The following is a 24,094-nucleotide window of genomic DNA, read 5'->3' as shown; positions in this document are numbered from 1 at the left end:
GGAATGGCAGTCCACCTGGAATGTATGTGGTATACAGCTGCTTAATTAAGAAATCCATCTTAGTGAGCAGCATTTTCTTTCAAATAGCCTGGTATAGTCAACTCTTTACTGAGATTCAAGTCGACTGTTTTCTCTGACTGAGTGCTAGCTGTAATCCTGGGAAAAGTTATACAGCACATTGGTGATTTGTTTTTTCCATCTTATATGGGAGATTAAAATATTTGTTGCCTACTCCCCTCATCAGGTGTTGTGAGGATTAATGAGATCATTTTAGTAATGTGCCTTAAACTCACAAGAGGAAATGGGCACGGAAAAGCCCAAACCCCGGGTGTTATATTACCAGGAGCTTAACTCAGGCCTGGCATTTACGCTGCTGTTATGTGTCCATTTATTTTGTTCACGTGTTGCTTTTCGCATTACAATTCTGTATTAAGCTTCAGATCCATCTCATGGGTGTGAAAATATCCACGTGTCAAAATCAAGAGTGGGCCTGTTGGCTTCACATGTTTTCACTTGCCATCCATCTCCAGAATCTTGCAAGCTTGACCTACAGCTTGTTGGATTGGACACTTTTTATGTACACCACTTACTGCATTTTGCAGCTTCGAGTCTATCTGTGGGGACTCAGCTTTTTCAATAACTCTAGGCTGTAATTTTTGAGAGCATTGTTTAAACCTTGTGCTCTACTTGAGTAGTAAATGGTCACAGTGGCAACCGGGCATGGGTCCTTTCTCACTAGCGTGTGTGATGCTTGCTGTCACTGTCACCCCCGCCGAACGGGGTAATGGGATGAGAGAACAAGGCCTTACCAGCACAGCCTGTGAATGGCTCCATAGAGGGGACGCTGGTTCCTCAAGGGCGCAACCTATTCCCTTGATTTCAGCTGGAGGAACTTCTCTTGGGCCTTGGCATGATGTGCTCATACATCTTTAGGTAGCCAAAACCTGACATATAACTGAGTGTGAAAGTCAGTTGCCAGCATCTTCAGAAGGACATTATTTCTGAATGACCAGTGAATGAGGTTATTGTCATAGAAAACAGCAAAGTTTAAAATAATGTTGCTATTTGGGATGGCAGAATTGGTGGGGGAGGAAATGAGATGGGAGAAATATAATTTTAAACTATAAAAATTCCAGTGAAGTATAATGCTTAATTGTTAGCATATTCTAAGCAATGAGTTAGCCGCATTTAAAAATAGCTTTTTAACATGAATGAACCTTTTTATGAGCCGAGATTCAGTGAAGAATAAGTTGGTCATGCAAATGGTGTTTTAATAGTTTATATTAAATATTTTAGGGCTGGGATTTAAACAAATAACATTTTAGAGCTGTAAAAGCAAAAAGTCTGACCTGAAGGCCACACAAATAATTATAGTTCCTGAAATATAGCCCTGTGAACAAATCTATGCCACCTTGTTTATAATCTACTTCCTTTGAGTTTCAAAATAAGTAAAAGGGTGGCTTGGATGTAAAAAGGAGGCCACTGGCTTTGAGCGAGTTGAGAGCAGTGGTAGACGCAGGATCTTTTGTGCCTCTCTGGGGAAAATTAGGCAGTTCGGAACCACTCAGGACATTCCAGCAGCTTTGGAGATCAAGGAAGGCCTCTCCATAAAGAAGTCAAGAGTAGCTGGTTGTTCATGAGACCACACTTTAAGGAGATAATCATTGCCTCTCTTGTGAATTGGTTCTGAGGCAACACAATCTTTGAAGTAAAAAAAAAAAATGCTCCAGGTTTTAAGGAGTAAAGCATTAGTTTTGTGCAAAAAAAAGTCATTAAGGTTATTAGTTTTGTGTAACAAGAGTTATTAATGGCCAGGCAATGTAGCTCACACCTGTAATCCCAGCACTTTGGGAGGCCTAGGTGGGAGGATCACTCGAGCCCATGAGTTTGAGACCAGTTTGGGCAACATAGTGAGACTCCACCTCTACAAAAAAAAGTTAAAACAATTAGCCAGGCATGGTGGCACATGTAGTCCCAGCTACTGGGATGGCTGAGGTGGGAGGTCACATGAGTCTGGGAACTCCAGGCTGCATTGAGCCATGATCACACCATTGTGCTCTAGACTTGGTTACAGAGCAACACTCTCAAAAACAGAAACAAACAAACAAAAAAAACCCGAGTTATTCATTAGATTTAGAGAATGGTGTTTCTTGTAACTCTTACTTTAATTGAGGTATTTTGCCTATAAATATAGGCAAGTATATGTAGAAACTATGCATGTGTGCGCTGTCTTCTTACTAAGACATTATTTCTTCTCTTCGTGAAGAAAGCCTGCCTACTGGGGCTAAATTACCTGAAACAAACACCATCATTCACAGAGAGACAGTAAGTAAGCAAGATAAGCATAGAATATGTAGGGTAAATGACCCATCTGATCTGTTTGGGCAAGCATTATACCTCTCACTCTTTTCAATGACATATTTGCTTCATGTTTCGATAATGTGGTGTCTATATTTTAACTATGAACAAAGTCTTAAAATATTGCTATTTCATTAAATTTGGAGTACTGTTAATAAATTATTTATACCTGAAACATTGCTGTTGGCCATTCATTCTCTCCCCCCATTTCTTATTTTCTCCCAGCTAGCGTTGTATAGCAGAAATTCTTGTGCAAGACAAATGTAAGGAACTAATCAGTGATTCTAATTTTTAAACACTGTGGTGGTCTCTGCTTACCCCTCTGAATCGGTTTGAGAGAAGAAAATTGGATTTGTCTTGTTGATGCTTTGCAATTTAGTTGGCGAGTCGAGTATGTATAAAATAAGAAAAAAAGAGAAAATGCTAAGATTCTTGAGTGGGAATCCATAGTCCACAGAAACGTCAGAGGCTCTGGTATTTGCATGAGAAAAGTTTTGAAGGAAATTTTTAGTTTAGAAACACAAATTCAGGAAGTCAAATTCTGTGGTTTTTAGTAAATGGAAATATATATGGTGATATGGTTTGGCTCTGTGTCCCCACCCAAATCTCATCTTGAATTGTATGCCCATAATTCCCATGTGTTGTAGGAGGGACCTGGTGGGAGATCATTGAATCATGGGGGCGGTTCCCCCATACTGTTGTCATAGTAGTGAATAAGTCTCACAAGACCTGATGGTTTTATCAGGGGTTTCCACTTTTGCATCTTCCTCATTTTCTCTTGCCGCTGCCATGTAAGAAGTGCCTTTCGCCTCCCACCATGATTCTGAGACCTCCCCAGCCATGTGGAACTTTAAGTCCAATTAAACCTCTTTTTATCCCCAGTCTCAGGTATGTCTTTATCAGCAGCGTGAAAACGGACTAATACATATGTTGTGTAGGCTGAAAGAACTCTTCCAAGGACCATGGCATATCTTGGTTCCACCAATGGCCTGACGTGACCTTTAACCTTTCTGTGTCTCCTTATCTGCAAGATAGGAGTGACAAGAGAACCTAGATCTTCAGGTGGTTGTAAAGATTAGTGTGGCAAGATAAAGTTGTTAGCCCATTGCCTGGCTCATAGTATATAGTCATGCATGACTTTCTTTTTTTAAGAAAAAAGATTTAAAACAACAAAAGCTCTCTAGGCAGAGTTAATTCTTCACAGTGGGAGGAGGTATTTAAACTTCTGGGCAGGATGCTGTGGAGGGAATTAGAGCTTGATAGTGAATTGGAATAACTCTAACCCATTCTCAACCTAACACTGATCTTTTTACTTTGTAAAAAAAGGCATTTCACTGGAGCTGCATTAGCAATATAGTTTGCCATTTTTTTTCCAAAATATTATCTCCTCCTCCCACCAAAAATACCTTTTGCTGTGTGTGTGTGTTGTCATATATTCCCAACTTTAATGAAAGCCAAAGATTTCTAAGTTTTTTAATGTTGAGGAAATTTTTAAAGGCAATTCGTGGTATTTACAACAAGCTATTAAATTTATTTCATCAATTATTTTCCTTTTCTTCTCTGTTGATAACTTTAGTCTACAACAAGATTTTAAGAATTGCAATGGACCTATCTTTCTTTTTTTTTTGGAGATGGAGTCTCGCTCTTGTCACCCATGCTGTAGTGCAGTGGCACCATCTTGGCTCACTGCAACCTCCGCCTCCCAGATTCGAGAGATTCTCCTGCCTCAGCCTCCCAAGTAGCTGGGATTACAGGTGCCCGCCACCAGGCCCGGCTAATTTTTGTATTTTTAGTTGAGATGGGATTTTACCATGTTGGCCAGGCTGGTCACAAACACCTGACCTCAAGTGATCCGCATGCCTCGGTCTCCCAAAGTGCTGGGATTCATTATTTTTAAATATAAAATTTTTGCAAAGTGAAAGCCGATGTCATAGATTTTACATGGTTTTCGCAGGAAAGCAAGCCATCAATTAATGATGTCCTTTATGGGCTGGAGGGAGTGAGTGCTATGTAGTGGAGGAAGCACACATACTTTTGGCCAGGATTTAGGAATAGTTTTGTTAGGCGGTATATCTGATTTATCATGTTCTTGACTCAGGACAAATAAAATATCTTTATGGTAATCTTAAATACCTCTTTAGAGGAATATTTATATCTACAAATACCTTCTGCATTTATTTATTTGAGGCAGAGTCTCGCTCTGTCACCCAGGCTGGAGTGCAGTAGCGTGATCTCGGCTCGCTGCAACCTCCGCCTCCTGGGTTGAAGCAATTCTGCCTGCCTCAGCCTCGCGAGTAGCTGGGATTACAAGCATGTGCCACCATGCCCAGCTAATTTTTCTATTTTTTAGTAGAGATGGGGTTTCATCATGTTGGCCAGGCTGGTCTTGAACTCCTGACCTTAGATGATCCGCCCGCCTTGGCCTCCCAAAGTGCTGGGATTATAGGCGTGAGCCACCGCGCCCAGCCTGCATATATTTATTTTTATGGCTCTTCTGTTATTTTTGTCCTCCTTGTCTTAAGTAGCTTGACTAGTAACCTTCTTTGTGTACTATATTGCTGTGTCATTGTGTTAGTAACTGTGGACTCGTAAGTATTGAGTTGTCAAAGTAAAAAAGAGTGTTGTTTCCACCATCACTTTATTAACAATGATTCTATTAAGAGTTCTTCAGATTTAGGTAAAATTTCTCTGTTACTGAATGTCTCTGTTTTTCAGTAGAGTAGTAAACTGTCTAGTTGCACTTTTTCTTTCACCAGTAGTCTTTTTGTTTGTTTGTTTTTTTGGAGACAGGGTCTCACTCTGTCACCCAGGCTGGAGGGCAGTGACTCTGTTACTCACGGCTCACTGCAGCATCGACCTCCCTGGGTTCATGTAGATCCTCCCACCTCAGCCTCCTGAGTAGCTGGGAATACAGGTGCTCAGTGCCACAACAGCCTAGTTTTTGTATTTTTTTGTAGAGATGGAGTTTTACCACGTTGCCCAGGCTGATCTCAAACTCCTGTGCTCAAGTGATCTGCCCCCTTGGCCTCTTAAAGTCCTGGGATTACCGATATTAGCCACTGTGCCCAGCCTGTCTTTAAGAGTATGATTACCCCCTCAGAATTAAATAAATAAATAAATAAATTGCTGTTTTCCTCCTTCTAGAAGCCTCATTTTCAGCTCTTTAAATTGTCTTCGTTATTCTTTTCAGTTAGGATCTAATTGGGATCTGTTGGTTATACATAGAAAGTGTAAAAATGACTTACTACTTCCCATCTGTAACAGCCCTGTTGTGTGAACAATGTCACTAAGCAGCAGTTTACTGTCAGCTGGTGATCTATTGTGACCCTTAGTACATTTACGCATTTCCTAATTTCTTTTCTTGATTTGTTTTTATTCAGTTTTTTGTTGGACAGCTTTCTATTATTTTATGGTTTCTGCTTTATTACTCTGATATTGAGGACCCTTTTCTAAATCACATCTAAATAATAGTTTTCTTTATTGCCATTTCTCTTGTCTTGTGTCTGTGTCTTGTATTCTAATCAGACATGCCATCGATTACTCATCTTCAGAAGACACTTCTTTGGTCATGCGTTCTCTTTCTTAAGATTCCTTCTTACCTATTAAAGACCACACTCTGCATTCTGACATTCATAATTTTTCAAAATTCATATAGTTGAGCATCGTCTTTGTTCTGAGCATGCATCTAAATGATGAGAATTCAGAGAGCTAGACAGGGACTCGGTTTTTCTTGATAGAGAAACTGCTATCAGTATACGAGACATTATTGTAGATGTTGAATCAAAACAGTGCCCAGGCATTAGGTTCCCTAGGAATTCCAAGGAATCGATAATGGGTAATTTTTCTGGGGATGGAATGATTTTTCAGGTTGGAGTGGGACTTGTACTGTGCTTTGAAAACAAGGATTGAATATTAGTGAAGGAGGTGACATTTCCCTGGCCTCATGTTTCCAGCCTGAGGGACCACAATGGGAAAAAGAGTGGCTTATCTGATTGGTGAATTTGTAAGAAGGAGATCCTCAGCTCGGCACTGCAGGGCCTCTCTGTTCAGAGCTGGTTCTGTACTACAGCCTTTTCTGCCTTGTGTTAACAGACCTGGCCTTGCTGGCGTGGCTTGAGTTTGTCTAGCTGTGCCAGTGACTGGCTGGGGAGGTCTGGCTAATTCTTGTCACTGATCTTTAGCCATTTTCCCTAGTCAGCTTTTATCAGTAATAAAAGTAATGTCTTGATTCCCAGTTCTCTTAGTGGAATGTGAGTGTGGGCAGAAAGGCAAGGTGGGTGGAGTCATAGGCATTAAATACCGAGGACATGAACACCAAGGAGATGAGCACCGTTGCTTAGTGTCGTGAGCAATGAGAGAGAAAGTTGGAATAGGAGACTGGAGTCAGATGTGCAGAGCTAGAGTGTGAGCTTTATTTTGTAGGCTGAGGACCCGCTGAAGGTTTTAAAATGCTGTAAAGTGTACAGCGGGTTATTTTGGTAGTATGAATCCAGTAGTGCTGGAGAATGGATTCCCCAGGGCTTTTTCAGTTGGAATTCATGCATCTTCTGGCTTTGGATGTTCGGAAGGGAGATGGATATGAAACACCCTGAAATGATATGTAAGATATATTAAAGGGATCGTCTTTCAGAAAGGGATTAAGAACCTCCACTTAAGCTGGACGTGGTGGCTCACGCCCGTAATCCCAGCACTTTGGGAGGCCGAGTCGGGCGGGTCACTTGAGGTCAGGAGTTTGAGACCAGCCTGGCCAACGTGGTGAAATGCCGTCTCTACTAAAAATACAAAAATTAGCTGAGCGTGATGATGTGTGCCTGTAGTCCCAGATACTTGGGAGGCTGAGGCAGAAGAATCACTTGAACCCAAGAGGTGCAGGTTGCAGTGAGCCAAGATCACACCGTTGCACTCCACCCTGGGCAACAGAACAAGACTCCGTCTCAAAAGAAAAAAAAAAAAAACACCACTTAACTCCTCTGTATCCTGTTTGTATATAGGACTTATTGGAACAAAATTTCACCATTAAGTATGATGTTTATTCTGGATTTTTTAAAATAGTGCTTTAAGCAGATTTGTAGAAGTTCTTTGTATACCTAGTTTGCTAAGGTTATTTTTAAAATAATAAATTGACATTCACATTTATTGCATATAATTTTATGCATGTATTCTGCTAACCATATGGGTTTTTCTTTTTCATCTATCAGTGTGGTAAATTATATTGATTGAGTTCTAAAATTAAAACAGCTTGGCATTCTTAGGATAAAGCCAAGTTGGTCATGATAGATTATCTTTTTGATGTTGAATTAACTTTGCTAATATCTTAAGATTTTTGCATTTAATCTTGCTAGCTTGACCTGCATTTTTCATTGTAAATGTTTTCTGTAATTCCTTGAGTGCTCAGAAAGAATCTATGTCCTGGGAACCCAAAAGTAAATAAATAGATATTCCCCCAAAAGAAAGTAAACAAAAAAGGGAAATAGTAATACATGTGTATGATAAATAAATAAAACAAAAGGGCAGGAGCTATAAAACAAAGGCCTTTCTCTAACCTCAGAAACCCAGTTCCCCTAAGACAATCTCTGTTAACAGAGGGTAGCCTGTGTGTTTGTGTGCATACATAATTATGTAGATGATACATTATATGCATACATTATTATATATGTAACAGTATATCTTGGCGGTAGTTTCAGTGTAGCACACAAGGTTTTTCTCATTCTTTTTTAATATCTACCTTATATTTTATTATATTTTTGTATATTAGCCAGGCCCTTGATGACATTTAAGTTCTCATATTTTGCTGAAATGAACATCATTGTACCTTCCTCTTTGGTATGTGTCTGTGGAATAAATTATTAAGAGTTGAGTTGCTGGATAAAAGGGCATATGTGTTTCAAATTGTGGTAGCAATAGCTTAATTATCTTCGAAAAAGGTTATACCTCCTTACACTCTAACAGTGTATGAGCGTGCTGTGGCAAATATCTGAAGTGTTCTGGCCAAGACTCATTTCCCACAGCCCAGGTCATTTGAAGTCTCAGTCATGCTAGCTGCACCACACTTCACCCCACCCACAAGTGCATTCATTATTAACTTGGTGATCTCATGAGCTTTGGCAAGCAGTGGCTTCCTGCTAGAGAGCCTCATAAGAACCTCGGAAACTGCTGTGTTCTAGATGAGCAGGATCTGAGAGGATGTTGGCAAAATGCCCAGACATAAGGTACTGAGGCCGTTCTGCCTACCTTATTCCTGAGTCTTTTTTTACAGCCCTCCCTGTCTAGGCTGTAATGGAATAGGTGAAAGAATTGTAGCAAATGCTGGCCATCTTCTGTCAGCATTCCAATGCTAGTGACTGGAGGGAACAGAGATGGATGAGATGTGGAATTAGCTGTTGGGCCCGTGGATTCTGTCTAGGGTGTTCTTACCTTTCACTGTTTGCCTGAGTTGAAGTCATTGCTCACATTGTACAGTCACTGTTGTTTCCTGTGTGGTTGTTTATTCTTTTTTTTTTTTTTTGAGACGGAGTCTTGTTCTGTTACCAGGCTAGAGTGCAGTGACGTGATCTCCGCTCACCATAACCTCCGCCTCCCTGGTTCAAGTGATTCTCCTGCCTCAGCCTCCCGAGTAGCTGGGACTACAGGCGCGCGCCACCATGCCCAGCTAATTTTTGTATTTTTGGTAGAGATGGGGTTTCACTGTGTTGGCCAGGATGGTCTCAATCTCTTTGACCTTGTGATCCGCCCACCTTGGCCTCCCAGAGTGTTGGAATTAGAGGTGAAAGCCACCATGCCCAGCCGATTGTTTACTCTTAAATCCAGGTGTGTTGAGGTGATAGATGCCCCAAGAATTGGCAGTCACTGCTTACTGAATAAGTAGTTAAGATTTCATCTTGGGAGAGGAGAAGTGATGGGGGCATGTAACTCTTGGTTATCCCTATGTTATTTTTATAAACAGGATCCCCAACTGGAGTCCTGGTTGCCACCAGAAACAGTGAGAAAGCAACACCCAGGAGCCTTGGGGTGTGGCCTCAGCTGATGAGGTCAGAGGAGATTAGGGGTAGGGAGGCCAGGAAAAGCCAAACCATGGATCCTTTGTTAATTGTCCCTTCTGTTATTAACAATCATTTTTAAGCTAGAGAGGGATATATGTAAAGCACTGAAACTTTGCTAAAATAGCCTCAAGGTTGTGTGCTATATTTACCAAAACTGAGAAAATATTAAAGTGACAAAAACAAAACAAAATAAGTGGTCCTCTAAGCAAGACTCGGTTGGTAATGTATATAAAGATTTTTATTAATCTGATTCTTTTAAGGTGATTAGGTCTCCCTTGCTCAGAAACCTTCATCACACCCCTTTCCTTAAATTGACTACCAACTAAATATACTCTAAACTCTTGAGCCTGACATTGGAAACTTTTTAGAGAGAATCTGCCTCTCCAGTGTAATCATCTACTTTCTTATGATTTGCAGTGAAGTTCATGGACCAGCAGCATCACCATCACCTGGGATCTTGTTAGAAATGCAGACTGTCAGGCCCCACCCCAGACCTGCTGGATCAGAACCAGAGTTTTAGCGGGATACCAGTGTTGTGCATGCCCACCCCAGTTTGAGAAGCCCTGATCTCTTATACTTCATTCTCCTCAGCCTTCCTTCATGTGATACAATCTGCTGAACGGGCCTAGCTCTCATTTTCTAAGCGTGTTTTACACTTCTCCAGTGATCTGCCTTTCCTTAAATCATACAGCTTCCTCAGAAAAGTCTTTTTCTTTCAGCTTCCTTCTTCCTTCCATTCATTCAGTTGATTAGGGGTCTAAAATATAGGCCGGGCATGGTGGCTCACTTCTGTAATCCCAGCACTTTGGGAGGCTGAGGCAGGTGGATCACCTGAGGTCAGGGGTTCGAGACTAGCCTGGCCAACATGGTGAAACTCATTGTCTACTGAAAATACAAAAATTAGCCGAGGCAGTGTCATGTGCCTGTAGTCCTAGCAACTTGGGATGCTGAGGCTGGAGAATCACTTGAACCCGGGAGGCGGAGGTTGAAGTGAGCCAAGTTCGCACCACTACACTCCAGCCTGGGCAACAGAATGAGACTCCGTCTTAAAAATAAAATAAATAAATAAATAAATAAAATATGCTAAGAACGATGATTTGGCTTGAGATTCAGACATGACTGAAAACACAGTCCCTGTCCACTCCTGGGACAGCCTCTCTGGAGGACAGCTCAGCAACGTGTATCAAGAGTATTGAATATGCATTTCCTTTGATCTCAATGTTGTCTCCTCTAGGAGATTTTCATAAACGAATAATCAGAAAAGAATGTAAAGAAATGTGTAGAAGGTTGATTGTTGCAACACTATAATAGTAAAAAATTGATAAATGAATAATTGTTATGCATAAACTTTTATATAGCCAAGAAAGTAATATATATGTAACCAAAATGAAAATATATCAACATTAACAATTATATTATTAAAATAGACAAAGACAGGCCCTGTGGTGTGCCTATAGTCCCAGCTACTCAGGAGGCTGAGGAGGGAGGATCCCTTGAGTCCTGGAGTTCAAGGCTGCAGTGAACTATGATCGTGCCACTGCATTCCAGCCTGGGTGACAGAGTGAGACCCTGTCTCTAAAAACACAAAAGAGACGTCATGTATATCAGGTGTCTAGTGTGGTGCTGCCCCTTCAGATAGATTCCAGAATGAAGGAGATGCCGGGGGAATCTTCTTCAGCCTACCCACACCTGGAGCAGAGCCACAGTTGGCCCTCAAGCAGCCACAACATCTGAGCAAGAAATAAACCTTCACTTTAAGCCACTAACATTTGAAGGTGATTTGCTACTGCCACAACTAATCTAGTGAAAGCTGACTAGCACATTGTGTACTCTGCTTATTTGACTCCCTCGTTGTCTGCCTGCACCTTGATGTTATCTCTTTTTTTGGCGTCTGTCCATCCTAACGTGACGTCACTTACAAAGTTGATGCAGTTCATTGAACTTGGGATGAGGGTGGAAAGATTAATGTTGTAATTCCCTTGGATTAGAGCAGTGTTTCTCAGTGTGTGGTCCTTGAACCGTCTGTATCAGAATCCTGTGGGGTTTGGCAGGGATACAGAATCTTGAGCCCCCACTGCAGGCCTGCGAAAACAGAATATTTGGGGTGAGGTTTCAAGGAATTCTCAGATATACCCAAGTTTAGGAAACACTGGACTTGAAGCTAGACAAATACTACATCAGGATGTTACTTTGTGCATCCCCTCCACCACTGAAATTGGAATATGATAGACAGTGTCCCTTGGTATTCTTCTCCGACCAGAACTCTTTTTTGTGATGGATGGATGGATGGATGGATGGATGGTTGATTGCTTCTAGATTAGGGAACTAAACATTGGTCATCTTTATGAGAAAATTTTAGCCAGATTTGATTCAAGAACTACATAACACTTGACAAGTAAAATGAATGAGTACCTCAACTGATATACTTTTTCCATACTACTCTTTTTTTTTCTTATAAAAATTAAATTTTAGTTACATAATTAATTCATGAGTACATTCTCATAGAAATTTAAAGCATTACTGATGAGGTCAAATTCAGCATTGAACCCCTCCCCAAATCTTGGGCCCCTCATATCCACTGTGCCACAGGTATCTTGGTTTTTTATTTTTTCCAGATTTTTTTCTATGCATGTTTATGTGCCGTGTTAATATTTATGGCTAATACAGATGGTCCTTAAGATGGTTCGACTTAAGATATTTTTCAACTTATGATGGGGATGTAGCCACATCATAAGTTGAGGAGCAAGTGTATACATTAAATGGCCTGTACCAATACAGCTGGTATCCATTCTCACTGAGCAAGCATCTGCTGAAATTGCTCAGAGCCCTGTGTCACTGTTTGATATCTTGAGTATCAACCCTGCAGTTTGTACTTGTACTATGTATGTGTGTGAGGAGTGTATACATATATATGTATATATGTGTGTCTTAAGTGTCATACTACACATATTTTTTTCAGTTTGTTTTTTATATATGTTGGCATACATCCATGTCAGTATATGCGAGTTTACCTCATGTTAAAAAATTGCTCCACTGTATTCCATCCTATCGTTTATTTAGCCATTTCTTTTCTTTTCTTTTCTTTTTTGAGATGGAGTCTTGCTGTCACCCAGGCTGGAGTGCAGTGGTGCCATCTCAACTCTCTGCAGCCTCTGCCTCGTGGGTTCAAGCAATTCTCCTGCCTCAGCCTCCCGAGTAGCTGGGATTACAGATGCCTGCCACCACGCCCAGCTAATTTTTGTAATTTTAGTAGAGATGGGGTTTTAACATGTTGGCCAGGCTGGTCTTGAACTCCTGACCTCTGGTAATCCACCCACCTTGGCCTCCCAAAGTGCTGGGATTACAGGCGTGAGCCACCACACCCGGCCTATTTAGCCATTTGTATATTGATGGACAGATTGTTTCTAGCTTTTGCTATTACAAACAGTGCTGCCATTGATATATTTATATGTGTTGCCTTGAGTATCTGTTCAAATGTTTGTAAACCATATGTATGTACATACACACACACACACACAACATACACACACATATGGAGAGAGACAGATATATATGAACATGCCGCGTCACCATTAATTTATACCCCAACCAGGAGTTTATCAGTTTCCTCATAGCCTTTCAAAATTGATTGTCAGTCTTTTTGATCATTGCCACTATTGTGGGTAAAAACTGGTGACTTTGTTTTAACCTGTGTTTCACTGATCATTAGGAAGGTTGAAGATCATTTAATGTGTATTCGCCATTTGTATTTCTGTTTCTTAAATGGTCTGTTTTTATCTTCTGCCTGTTTTTCTGCTGGGTTATTGATGTGTTGGAGTTTGTTATATATTAGATATTTAAATATATGTTGCAGATGTTTACTCACAGTTGATACATGTCTTTTATCTTTGCTTATGTTGTCTTTTATCATTTGTTTTTACTGTCAGACCTGTGGTGGTCATTCTCGATTTTATGTAGTACCTGCTGGCCATCACCTCGTCTCCTCAATAAGTTGTTTGGATTCTTACAAGAATTAGAAAAATAACTAAATGTCTCCAAATTGTCCATATGTAAGAGCTTCGAAGGGCTCTCCTGAATAAAGTGTATTTAATTGCATGGACTTGTAAACATGTATGCTTTGGCCACTCTGAAAATCTGCTTTCTATATTCCAAATATGTTTGCTGGATTATTGTGCTCTAAATAATGGAACTGTTATTCTAACAGTCCTATAATTTGTATATTTAATTCATTTGTTCTTGTTCACAAGATGATTTGTTATCAGTCTCTCACAGCACAATTAGGGATTTGTAATCAGAGTCACATCAGTAGTCTTTGTAAATTGATGTAAGCTGTTAACCGCGTTGAACCAGATTTTACTATCATGTGTATCAATAAAATGTATAGGTGATCTCTGACTTTCACATGTGAATCCCAAAAGTTTACTTAAAATTTAATTATTTGGAGCTCTGTTATTTTTCCCCAGAAACAAGTCCGTTTTTAGGTCTCTGGCAAGCTCAAACAAGCATTCTTAAAGTTAACAGTTTATCACATTATTTTTATGTTCCAATTATGGATGTAAAGATAGAAAGAATAAGCCTATAATCTTCAGAAGTTCTGGAGATCATTGACCGTGGAGTAGGCATGTGGGTAGGGGAGGAGTAGGATGTAGACGTCTTTAAAACTATGAAATTGAGGACACCTCTTGGTGAATCATTTATTCTCCAGTGTTCTGTATTTAAGAACAAAGGTGACTGGCATCCACCCATTATTCTTTAGTTCATGCATTGTCTGTTGAAAATGCAGTATTTGTGAGACTGAATCAGTCTTATGTAGCAAGGAACATTTCCCAGTTTTTTGTTTGTTTGTTTGTTTGTTTTTCTTTTTTGAGACAGAGTTTTGCTCTTGTTGCCCAGGCTGGGGTGCACTGGTGTGATCTGGGCTCACTGCAACCTCCGCTTCCCAGGTTCAAATGATTCTTCTGCCTCAGGATTACAGGCACCCACCACCACACCAGCTAATTTTTTGTATTTTTAGTGGAGGAGGGGTTTCACCATGTTTGGCAGGTTGGTCTCGAACTCCTGACCTCAGGTGATCCACCTGCCTCGGCCTCCCAAAGTGCTGGGATTACAGGTGTGAGCCACTGTGCCTGGCCCATTTCCCAGTATTATATTCCTTGATTGTTTGGGTCCAAAAGCAACTTCATGGCTAATTATTTTCACTAATTGCACAAATTTGAAGCCATTGATAAAAGCAACTAACAATGTTAACATCAGTTGTAAAATACCCTCAAGAAGCCAGAAATCCTAACTTGTCAGTGCATTTTTCCAGGTACTTTGTGGTTGTGGTTTGTGTTGTAGGAATGGTGGCTGTGGCCCTAGAGGATTGGGTTTTGTTCCTTGCTTTCCACTGCCCTGCTGTTCCGTGGTCCTTTTTGGTTTGTTTTTTGTTTTCTTGAGACAGGGTCTTGCTCTGTCACCCAGGCTGAAGTGCGGTGGTGTGATCATACCTCACTGTAGCCTTTAATTCATGGACTCAAGCGATTCTCCCTGCTCAGCCCCCTGAGTAGCAGGGACTACAGGTTACAGGCATGTGCCACCACACCTGGCTATTTTTTAAATTTTTTGTGGAGATGGTGTCTCACTATGTTGCCCAGGCTGGTCTTGAACTCCTGGGCTCAAGCAACCTTCCCACCACGGCCTCCCAAAGTGCTGGGATCGTAGGTATGAGCCACCATGCCCTTTTCTTTTTGAGGGCTCTGTTGTATACTCATATAGTTCCAGAATGAATATTCCTCAAACATCAGCATGCCTAAGAATCACATGGAGGAGTCAAGTCAAAATGCAGGTTCTGCAGCTCCATTCCTAAGAATCTGATTCAATCTAGCAATCAGCAGTTTATCCACAAGCACCCCAGGTAACCCATTGCAGCTCGGCCCTAGAGCAACAGAAATACTGTGTCTCCTGTGTTGGCTTTCTCAAGTGCATGACACAGGACAGTTCTTGGATCACTTGCGTGTGTGGGTGAGGCCGATAAACTCTTGTCAAGGCACCAGGGAACAACCTGATGTTCCCCGAGAGGTCAGTGACCAAATGGGTCGTGGAATTTTATATTATGTATATATAAATATATGAATTATAAATTGATAAGTTATAGTTGTATATATTTATGGGGTACAAAGTGATGTTATGAAGTGAAAAGGAAATAAGCTGGGCATAAAAGGGCAAATACTGCATGTTCTCACTTGTATGTGGGCTCTAAAACAGTTGAACTGATAGAAACAGAAAGCGGAATAGTGGTTACCAGAGGCTGGGGTAGGGGAAATCGGGAGATGATGGCCAGAGGGTGCAAAGCCTCAGTTGGACAAGAGGAATACGTTGTTTCTTTTTGCTTGTTTGTTTCTTTTTTGAGCTCTATTGCAGAGCACCTTGAATATAATTTTAATAATGGTGTATTATACATTTCAAAATCACTGAGAGTAAATTTCAAATGTTGCTACCACAAAATACAAAAAGTATTTGAGGTGATGGATGTGTTAAGGGAAAAGTAACAGAGTTCCTCAAAAAAACTAATAAAATAACCACTTTTAATATGCTTCTGTAAACAATTCCTTTCTGAGAAGTTTATTCCTTTTGGCTTTCAACGAATAGTTTGTGTCTTTGAATATTCATTACAAATAAATAGTTTGTTTCTTTATAAAAGTTAAAAAGGTATAATGGGAACTTTTTCATATTGCAGGTAGTATGAGTATCGTGACAAAGCTATAGTTTAAATAGGTGCTATTGGGCACCTATTGACTGCCCTCAGAACCTCCCTGAAGCTGGGATGTAAGAATTTCGCAGTGGAAAGTCAGGCAGTTGATGCATCTTGTCTTGTCATGACATTTTGAAGAATGACTTTACTGGTAATTGACAGGAGTATTAAGCACCCATATAATGTATTTTACTTTTCTATATCATTTTAAATTAAAATTTAAAATATGATGAAAAAATTTATCAAGACGAGAGATAGTGTTATTCGTCTGAGAACTGATGTGAAATTTTTTGCTAAATTTATATTTTCAGGACCTTATGCTCTCTTTGGTGCCCCTCTTTACCTTGTCCTTACAGACATGTGTTTTGTAGATGCTCTGAGCTCAGTTTATGGACAGTTCTTCATAATATTCATTTATTAACAGCCAGGGATGAAATGCTTGGTATGATCTGGTCACGATTTATGTCCTATACACAGAACCAAAAGCTTTCCACTGAGTGACCTGACTTCAGATTTTCTTTGTGATATGAAGCTCATGATCATTTGCTTGGAGATATTTACCTTTAATGAAATTTAAGTGGGACATGTATTTCTTACAGAAATTAATGCAATGATTATATTATTTTAAATATTTCGTGTGTTATTTTAGTGTAAATCACAACATGGATTTCATGAGTTTCAGAATGTTTATATTTGCCTAGGAGATTATTTTTTTTCTGCATGCATGTAGGTTGGGTAAATGATTAATACTGTGTAAGTAGAAAATAACATTGATTTAATTTGTTTGATCACTGGTTTAACTCCTTGGAAGAGAAGAAAACTATAAATATATATATATATATATATATATATATATATATTTTTTTTTTTTTTTTTTTTTTTTGAGACAGAGTCTCGATCTGTAGCCCAGGCTGGAGTGCAGTGGCACAATCTCGGCTCACTGCAAGCTCTGTCTCCTGGGTTCACGCCATTCTCCTGCCTCAGCCTCCCGAGTAGCTGGGACTACAGGGGCCCGCCACCACGCCCGGCTAATTTTTTGTATTTTTAGTAGAGACGGGGTTTCACCGTGTATAACTATATTCTTATCTTAATCAAGAGCAATCTTTTGCCTGTCTTATTTGTAAGGTGCAGTTCTAGGTATTACATGTTTCACTTAAATACACAGTTGCCACCAAGAGGTCACTTTTAAGTTAAGGGAACTAGAGATATAGCAAACTAAGGTGAGAAGACACTTACTTCTCATGATTCCCACCTTAAAATCACATTTAGCACCTGTTTTTCTCTTTGTCAAAGTGACAAATTATGTTTTTTAAAAATATAGAGTGGATTTCACTTTGTTTCAGAAGTTATTGGAACTTCTGAAATGACCAAAGATACCATGATATTTGCAAAGCAGATTTAGGTGACTAAGGCTGATGCTTATGCAATTTCTTTGTAGGACTTCTTCCTAACCTTTTCCAAGGTTTCAAGGCTTTTTTGAGGTTTCCTAGTTTATAAGGATTCAGGAAAAATATTTATTGAACACTTCGTGTGAGCCTGTAGTCTCTGCTTTGCATAGTACTTGTTTTGATTGTTCTCAGTACCTGACCCACCTCCATTTTTTTGAGAAAGAAGTAGAGGAGCATTTATGAATGTTATTTATTCAGTCTGGTTGATTTCCTCATAGGGATCCTGATTATGCTGGGCTGACTTTTAAAGTTCTGTGTAGTTTTCAGCTTTTCCTCATGTGACCCGACTTAAATCCCCAAGTGCTCTCCCAACGTGGAGAGCTCCATCCTCCTGTTAAGAATCCAGAGTCTGTAGCCAGTAAGATGTGTTCAAAGGTTTAACAATGTTTTTATTTTTTAAATGCAAATATTTATACTATCTGCTTCATTTGTGAATTTTAAACATTATCAGAAGCACACAGGTCCAGAACCTGAGGAAGGCAAAAAAGGTCAGGAATAGGTAGGGGAAAAGGCGAGATGAAGTCTTGAATCACTAGGTTTATTGTTTGCTGTCCAAGTCCGCCCGTCTTCTCAGTCTGTCATTACTGATTATGAGATGGTGGCAAAGGCGGAGGATATGCTGTGAACTCATAATAGTCGGTTGTTAATTTTCTTCAAATTCTTTCATTGAAGGTCTCCAGCTCTTTAGTTACTGCTGTGTTAGTGAAGGAGTTGTGAAGAAGACTTGATCCCTCTATCCTACTTTAGTTTTATGGGAGGCTTTATTACAAATGAATGTGTACCGTCCTAGCTTTCTAGCTCCCAGCTTTCTATGTCACACTTCAAAAAAAATAAAGCAGCTACCACCATTGGTAAGAAGCCCTCGGGTATTATGAATTCAGAACCTTGCCCAGGCCAGGCACGGTTCCTAGAAGGGGGATAGAATCTTCCCATCTGGTTAAAAGACAACGAAAATGGGTCCAACATGAAGGTTACCAAAGGAAGATTCATTTGAACCTGTTAAAGGCATGCTTTCTTGTCCTTTCCTCTGCCTTCACATGTGTGTCGATGGAAGCCAGCTCGTGCCACTGCGGCTCTGCTCTGGGCCCCCCGCCACCCCATATGGCCGCCGCTCCCTGACCCCTTGCCTGGAGGAGCAGCAGAACCCCGGCTTCCCCTTGTCCCAGGGGAGCGTCTTTCACACTGGAAATGGACAGAGTGAAGAGAGCAGCTGGTGGGAAAATGAGAATGGACCTCCAGGGGCTTTTAACAAGGCCATGAATTCAGTTATTGGTCTTGTGCTCACACAATTAAAAACAAGCTGGCAGCGGGGCTGCATGATGACTGGGTGAGGACCGAGGCTTGCTTTTTGCCGACGTCTTCTCCCTAAGCTGGTGGTCCATTTCCTGCTTTGCCCTTTGGTTTCCATGCTGTTTCTAACCTTCACAAATTAAAGATGGGGCCTTTCAGCTACCTGGTTTGTTTCCTGGCTGTTTTGTCCGTGAAGCTCTCTACTCTTGAGAGGCATTCTGTCCCAGTTTTACTTTTTTACTTGATGTTGTTACTGACTTTTGGAATATCTATCCAGTTAGTCTGTGAGGGGACGAGGGACTGGTTGTAGGGCATACGTGAGCCATCCCCTTTGGCCCAAGCACGAGCATCTTCCCCATTTGTTTATGTGCAGGTGTATGTCAAATATATATTTATATTTTATTATTTAATTTTATTTTATAATATATTTTATTTATTTTATTTTATTTATTTTTATTTTTTGAGATGGAGTCTTGCTCTGTTGCGCAGGCTGGAGTGCAGTGGCACAATCTCAGCTCACTGCAACCTTCGTCTCCCAGGTTCAAGCAATTCTCCTGTCCCAACCTCCCAAGTATCTGGGATTACCGGCACTCCCCCCAGCACCTAGCTAACTTTTGTATTTTTTTTTTAGTAGAGATGGGGTTTCACCATATTGGTCAGGCTTGTCTTGAACTCCTGACCTCAGGTGATCCACCCACCTCGGCCTCCCAAAATGCTAGGATTACAGGCGTGAGCCACCGTGCCTGGAAAATTTTATTTATTTTATTATTTAATGTTATTATTTGTTGAAACAAGGTGTTGTTCCATGCCCAGGCTGGAGTGCAGTGGCACAATCATAGCTCACTACAGCCTCAACCTTCTGGACTCAAGTGATTCTCCTCCCTCACGCTCCTGAGTAGTAGGGACTATGGGTGCATGACACTCTGCCTGGCTGATTTTTTTATTTTTTATTTTTTTGGACAGGGGTCTGGCTGTATTGCACAGGCTAGTCTCCAACTCCTGGCCTCAGGCAATCCTCTCAGTTTGACCTCCCAAACCATTGAGATTACAGCATGAGCCACCGCACCTGGCCTCAAATATATTTTTAAAGGAAAAAAATGCTACACATGCTAGGACTTGAATCTTCCTCTTTATTGCCAGATAAACTGAGGGAATGGATAGTTTTCTTTGTTTTTCAGCAATAAAAAATTTTTAATTATAGTGGAAAGTCTTAATTATAGAGGGAGAGCAAAGTGTATTTGGATGATCTGTGCTAAAAAGGAACAGTACAGGTGGAGTAACAAGTTACATGTTAGTCTTGTGATTATCTCATTAATGACTCATTTGTACTTGAAAGCAGCATAAATACATTTATGGAAAAATATGAATGTGAACTTATTTATTAATTTTTTTTGGAGATGGAGTCTCACTCTTTCGCCCAGGCTGGAGTGCATGGCGCGATCTCGGCTCACGGCAGCCTCCACTTCCCGGGTTCAAGCGATTCTCCTGTCTCAGCCTCCTGAGAGCTGGGATTACAAGTGTGCACCACTGCACCTGGCTAATTTTTGTATTTTTGTAGAGATGGGGTTTCACCATGTTGACCAGGCTGGTCTCAAACTCCTGACCTCAAGTAATCCGCCCACCTGGGCCTCCCAAAGTGCTGGGATTACAGGTGTGAGCCACCACGCCCAGCTGACTTATGGTTTTTTATTAGATAAGGTAGATGTAGAGATAATGTAGATATAAAGTGTGTATTTGTGTATATTTCTGTTTATCTGTATTGGTTTCCTATAGCTGCTGGAAGAAAGTATCACAAACTTGGTGGCTTAAAGCAACAGAGATTTATTCTCTTCAAGTTTTGGAGACTAGAAGTCGGAAAGGAGTCTTAGGGGCTAAAATCAAGGTGCCAGAGGATAATCTGTTTCTTTGCCATTTCTAGACTCTAGAGCTACATTTCTTGCATTCCTTGGCTCACAGCCCCTTCCTCCATCTTCAAAGCCAGTGTTGTAGTATCTTATCTCTGGCTCTACTTTTCTATGCTTCTGTCTCATGACTTTCTTCTCTTCTGCCTCATAATCTTTCTTTTCTTCCCTCTTATAAGGATACATGTGATGTCATTTAGGGTTCACTTGGCTAATCCAAGATAGCCCTCCCATGCCCAGAAATTTAATTTAATCACATTTTCAAAGGCTATGCCATGTAAGGTGACATTCACAGGTTCCAGAGATTAGAATGTAGACATTTTGTGGGGGAGGACCTTTATTTAGTCTACCACAGTGAGTGTGAATGTGTGTGTGTACGTATGTGTGTGTGTGTGTGTCTGTCTGAAATTCCCTAGCTGACCTATAAGCAGCTACTCTCCAATAACAGTAAGCACAGCTAGTGTTGAGGTCTTAGATCTAAAGAATATTTTTCATCGAAAGGAACCAGTTTTGTTTTAAAATAAAATGGCTCATTCTAGGGCAGATGGAAAATATAAGAGAAGCATGGAACATTCTGTGGCGTGAGAAAGTAAATAAATGCTCAGAGAATAATGGGGACAGGTCAAAAGACACAGAAGCCAACTTGAAGAGGCTTCTGTCAGTCCCAACTGGGCAATTTGAGCACTGAAATAAAAAAGCAATAAATTCAGCCTGTTCTGATAAAAATAAATAAAATTATAAATTGAAAGTTTGGTGTGAAACAAGATATTTACATAGTTCCTAAGTGCCTTTCCACAGCGTAATAATTCGTTACTAAGAGAAAAAGTTTAAGCTGACTTAAACTTTATTTATTTATTTATTTATTTATTTATTTATTTATTTATTTATTTATTTTGAGATGGAGTCTCACTCTGTCGCCCAGGCTGGAGTGCAGTGGCTCAATCTTGGCTCACTGCAGCCTCCACCTCCTGGGTTCAAGTGATTCTCCTCGCTCAGCCTCCCAAGTAGCTGGGATTACAGGCATGCACCACAACACCTGGCTAATTTTTGTATTTTTATTAGAGATGGGGGTTTCACCATGTTGGCCAGGCTGGTCTCAAACTCCTGACCTCCGGTCATCTGCCCGCCTTGGCCTCCCAAAGTGCTGGGATTGCAGGCGTGAGCCACCATGCCTGGCTGGCTTAAACTTTTTAAGTCAACTTAAAAAGGTTTCTCAGTGGTGAAACCTGGCAGATCAAAGTGAATGTGATCTGTAATTGGACAAAGTGAAAGCATGTGCCACTGATAGGGTGCAAAGAGAAGAACAGCCTCATGAAACATGAAGATAAGCCCAAGTTGAAGAACATTCTGTAAAATAACTGGCCTGAAACTTTCAAAACCATCATAGTCATGAAAGTTAAGGAGTATAATGTGATATAGTAGTGGGGTGGTAATAGCCACGTGGAAGCTCTAAGCTTCACTGTAGGAGGATCTGGTTAAGTTATTTACTAATAGAGTCGTGACTTAATTTTGTAGGTTTTCCTTCTTGGTCTAGCTGCATTCCTCAGTGAAAACTCTTCCGGTCTCCTGCTTGCATGGTGAAGTATAGGGTGCCATAATTTCATTAGCTTGGTGAGTGAAGAAATCTAAGCATCTTAACATCCAGCATACAAATCCCAGTTTCCGCTATGGTATCTTTAACTTCAGTAGTGTGTGGTGTCCCCTAGGCCAGAGTGCTCTTTGAAAAATCTCTCTAGTTAATAAAACTATTGTTTTACCTGAGTAGGGGAGGGGCTGTCTCCCAGTGTAGTGGAGGCAGGGATCTGAGGACTTAAGTGCTTGATAACCATTCCTTGTGAATAGTCCTCTGTTATCTAAGCCACTCCCTTTTCCTTCACTTCAAGAGTTTACCAGGCTCCCTCATTCCCTTGTCCTTTGGATGTCTTGTGGGGTGCATTGAATTGTTCTTTTCCTTCTCCAGGTTTTCCTGTGGTCTCCTGTGTCAGTTATCACTAGATCATTTGCTTCAAAAATGTCATTTTTCTTATTCTATTTCCTGTGGGTTTGTGCTTTTATAAGAAGAATCTCTTTACTGTGCTTTTAGTAGCTTTGGATGAGGGCAAATGCAAATGTGTATATTTATTTTGCCATCTTACCCAGAAATAAACAACAGTGATTTTTTAAAACTTTTTCTTTTTCCTTTTTACACTGGACGTCTCCCTTCCCCATAAACCTGTTATAGAACTTGAATCTTTAAAACAGAAATGGAACTACTGTGGTTGCAAAAGTGGTGTGGGGTTGAGTGAACAAGAGTCTTTTTCACCATGCCTCCTTTGTTGATCTTTGCAGCCACCCTGTCTCTATACCCAGGCAGCTTCTTTGAATCTTAGGATTCTCATGTACACAGCTGGGAAAACCACTGGATTAGAGTATTATACATCGCTGTTTTTGGCTAGAGTGAAAGATTCACCTCCTTTTACAACTTTGCATGTCTTCAAACCCACATTCCTCCTGTGTGGGCTGGTGCAAGGATATACCTTCTCATCCAGACCCTTTTGCTTATTAAAAGGGAATAGCAGGGGCTTGTTACCTGTCATCCTGGAGAATTTTCCTTTTGCCCTCTAATCTGTAGCCTTTCCTAAAGTAATAGTTAACTAGGCTGCTGTAATAAAGTACCATAAACAGGGCACTGAAACAACAGAAATTAATTTTCTTACAGTTCTAGAGAGTAGAAATTCGAGATCAAAGTTGGAAGGGTTGCTTTCTTCTGAGGCCTCTCTCTTTGTCTTGCAGATGGCCACCTTCTCCCTGTGTCTTCACATGGTCTTTTCTCAGTGTGTGCCTGTCGTCATCTTTTCATATGAAGACATTAGTCATGTTAAGTTAGGACACACTCTACTGATTTCATTTTAACCTAATTATCTCTTTAAAGACCTTATCTCCAAATACAGTTACATTTGAGGTACTGGGGGTTAGGACTTCAACATATAAATCTTGGGGGGACACAATTCAGCCCATAACGCCTAACTGTTGCCTTTTGCAGCATTAGCCTTGAGCTTCTTGTCCCTGTCTGCACTTAAGTTGTGCGTGGCTCCCTGCTTCCATGGGCCTGGCTTCTGCTGGGCAATGGGAGCAGATAGGATTGAGCAGGATCAAGTGCAGAGTGTGACTGTTGGAACCAAGTGTTAGTTTTGAGTGAGTCATGAAATATTATTTTATAGTCTTTAATTTAGTGTTTAATTTTTTCTTTATAATACTCACTGGCTGACTTGGAGGCTTTCAGATTCTCTGAAAATCATACTGAAGTTGAAATAATTAAGGAAATGAAGGAGCATGCCACCTTTCTCA

At 40.5% G+C, this 24,094-nt stretch overlaps 1 protein-coding gene across 18 annotated transcripts in view, besides 1 other annotated feature; it reads left to right on the top strand.

The window, feature by feature from the left end:
• PSD3 (pleckstrin and Sec7 domain containing 3) overlaps window positions 1–24,094 on the top strand; it is a 557,503-nt gene that overhangs the window by 118,573 nt on the left and 414,836 nt on the right. The window lies entirely within an intron of this gene.
• Window positions 4,415–4,618: a silencer, noted in NCBI's record as "fragment chr8:18819125-18819328 (GRCh37/hg19 assembly coordinates)". NCBI's record gives its function as "represses an EF-1alpha promoter that drives an FKBP-Casp9 reporter gene in an ReSE screen in K562 erythroleukemia cells {active_cell/tissue: K562}" and the evidence as "EXISTENCE:reporter gene assay evidence [ECO:0000049][PMID:32094911]".

This window comes from Homo sapiens, chromosome 8, assembly GCF_000001405.40.
Source record: "Homo sapiens chromosome 8, GRCh38.p14 Primary Assembly".
NCBI lineage: Eukaryota > Metazoa > Chordata > Mammalia > Primates > Hominidae > Homo > Homo sapiens.
This window is presented reverse-complemented; position numbering and strand designations above follow the sequence as displayed.